This window comes from Homo sapiens, chromosome 9, assembly GCF_000001405.40.
Source record: "Homo sapiens chromosome 9, GRCh38.p14 Primary Assembly".
Lineage (NCBI taxonomy): Eukaryota > Metazoa > Chordata > Mammalia > Primates > Hominidae > Homo > Homo sapiens.
This window is the reverse complement of record NC_000009.12, coordinates 88,337,992-88,339,953: the sequence shown is the minus strand read 5'-3', so window position 1 is coordinate 88,339,953 and position 1,962 is coordinate 88,337,992. Positions and strand designations below refer to the sequence as shown.

The 1,962-nt window shown below is 46.9% G+C and overlaps 1 annotated feature.

Moving 5' to 3' along the window:
- Positions 329-1,188: an enhancer, noted in NCBI's record as "H3K27ac-H3K4me1 hESC enhancer chr9:90953681-90954540 (GRCh37/hg19 assembly coordinates)". NCBI's record gives its function as "activates a minimal SCP1, AML or CMV promoter by ChIP-STARR-seq in naive H9 embryonic stem cells {active_cell/tissue: H9 hESC(naive)}" and the evidence as "EXISTENCE:reporter gene assay evidence [ECO:0000049][PMID:30033119]".

Here is a 1,962-nt window from a genome sequence, read left to right as displayed (position 1 = left end):
TGGCTACTTTTTGTATTTTTAGTAGAGATGGGATTTTACCATGTTGGTCAAGCTGGTCTCGAACTCCTGACCTCATGATCTGCCCGCCTTGGCCCCCCAAAGTGCTGGGATTATAGGCGTGAGCCACTGTGCCTGGCCCGGTTTAATAGTCTTTTTAATAAGGAGAGCTAAGAATTCTTTTGTCTCTTGTGGTATAAGTGATTGTTATTGACTACCAAGAATAAAGGGAAATAATTCTCTAGTCTCCATGAAGTGCCCCCGTTGCAGGAGAGGACGTGAGGGGTTAACACCTCTCTCTCTCCCTGACAGCTGAGGCATTCTGGCTTCTGTTATAATGAGCAGGGGGTGATTTGTCACCTGCTCCTTGCCACTAATGCCCACAAGTTGATTGGTTTCAGGCAGTTTACCTCCCAAGGGGCTGAAGCACATAAATTCACAGTGGAGGCTCTGTCTTATTACCTCATCTGCTAGGACGTCATCTATCCACCTTCCTCCTTAGACAAGACTGATGGAAGTTTCCTTAGCATGCAGAGTTGTTAGTTCTTCGTGTTCCTCCCTGGGGAAGGCTTCTGCTTCCCTTTATGAGGTCTTCAGGGCACCAGTGCATTTTGTGGTGCTGTTCTCAGTTTGATATAAGTTATAACAATCCTGAGTCAATTTCTTTTGCTCAACAAGTCTTTGTAAAAAGGCTGCTCTGCAAAGGTTTCTGCTAGGTGCTGTCAGGAAACGAAACAGGAATAGGATATAACAAGAATGCATCAGTTAGGGATTGCCTTTGGCTGCATATAACAGGAAGCACAAAATAATAGTGACTTGGCCGGGCGTGGTGGCTCATGCCTGTAATCCCAGCACTTTGGGAGACCGAGGCAAGGGGATCATGAGGTCAGGAGATTGAGACCATCCTGACTAACATGGTGAAACCCTGTCTCTAATAAAAATAAAAAAATTAGCCAGGCGTGGTGGCACACACCTGTAGTCCCAGCTACTCGGGAGGGCGAGGCAGGAGAATTGCTTGAACCTGGGAGGCGGAGGTTGCAGTGAGCGGAGATCATGCCAGTGCACTCCGGCCTGGGAGACAGAGCAAGACTCTGTCTCAAAATAGTAATGATAATAATAATAATAGTGACTCAAACTAAAAGGGTTTATGAAAAAGCAGCATGGGACTGGTGGTTTTTGGAGTTTCCCAGCTGGATGCTGTGGTTGAGGTCTCAGTGTCTCCTGCCTGCCTTCCCTCTGGTCCCAAGGTAGCTGCCGGAGCTGCAGCCATGCCACCACAGATAGGAGGAAATGGGAAGCACAGAGGACACAGACAAGTTTGTACTCCCCACGTCCCCCCCACTTTTTTTTTTTTTTTTTTTTTTTTTTTGAGACAGTTTTGTTCTGTTCCACAGGCTGGAGTGCAGTGGTGCAATCTTGGCTCAGTGCAACCTCTACCTCCTGGGCTCAAGTGATTTTCCTGTCTCGGTACCCCAAGTAGCTGGAACTACAGGCGCACACCACCACACCCAGCTAATTTTTGTATTTTTTGTAGAGACGGAGTTTTGCTGTGTTGCCCAGGATGGTCTTGAACTCCTGAGCTCAAGCAATCCTCCCACCTCAGCCTCCGAAAGTGCTGAGATTACAGGCATGAGCCACCACGCCCAGCCCACAGAACTTTTATCATCTTGCAAAACTGTGGAGGGGAGGGAAAAAAGCTTCTCCCCTACCCTTCCAGGTTTACCAGCTGGGGCCCTGGAAATTAAACTGACAAAAGACAGATTAACAAGACAAAAACAAACATAAGTTTGTTAACATGTGCACTGTGCATACACAGGGAGCACTCAGGGATGAGTAACTCAAAGGGGTGGTTAGACATAAGCTTGTATTGCATCTTGACAAAGAACAATATATTCTTAGAGAAGTGATGAGACAGAGGAAAAGATGTCTAGGCTTTTCTAAACAGCAATCCGTGGGAAGGTGAAG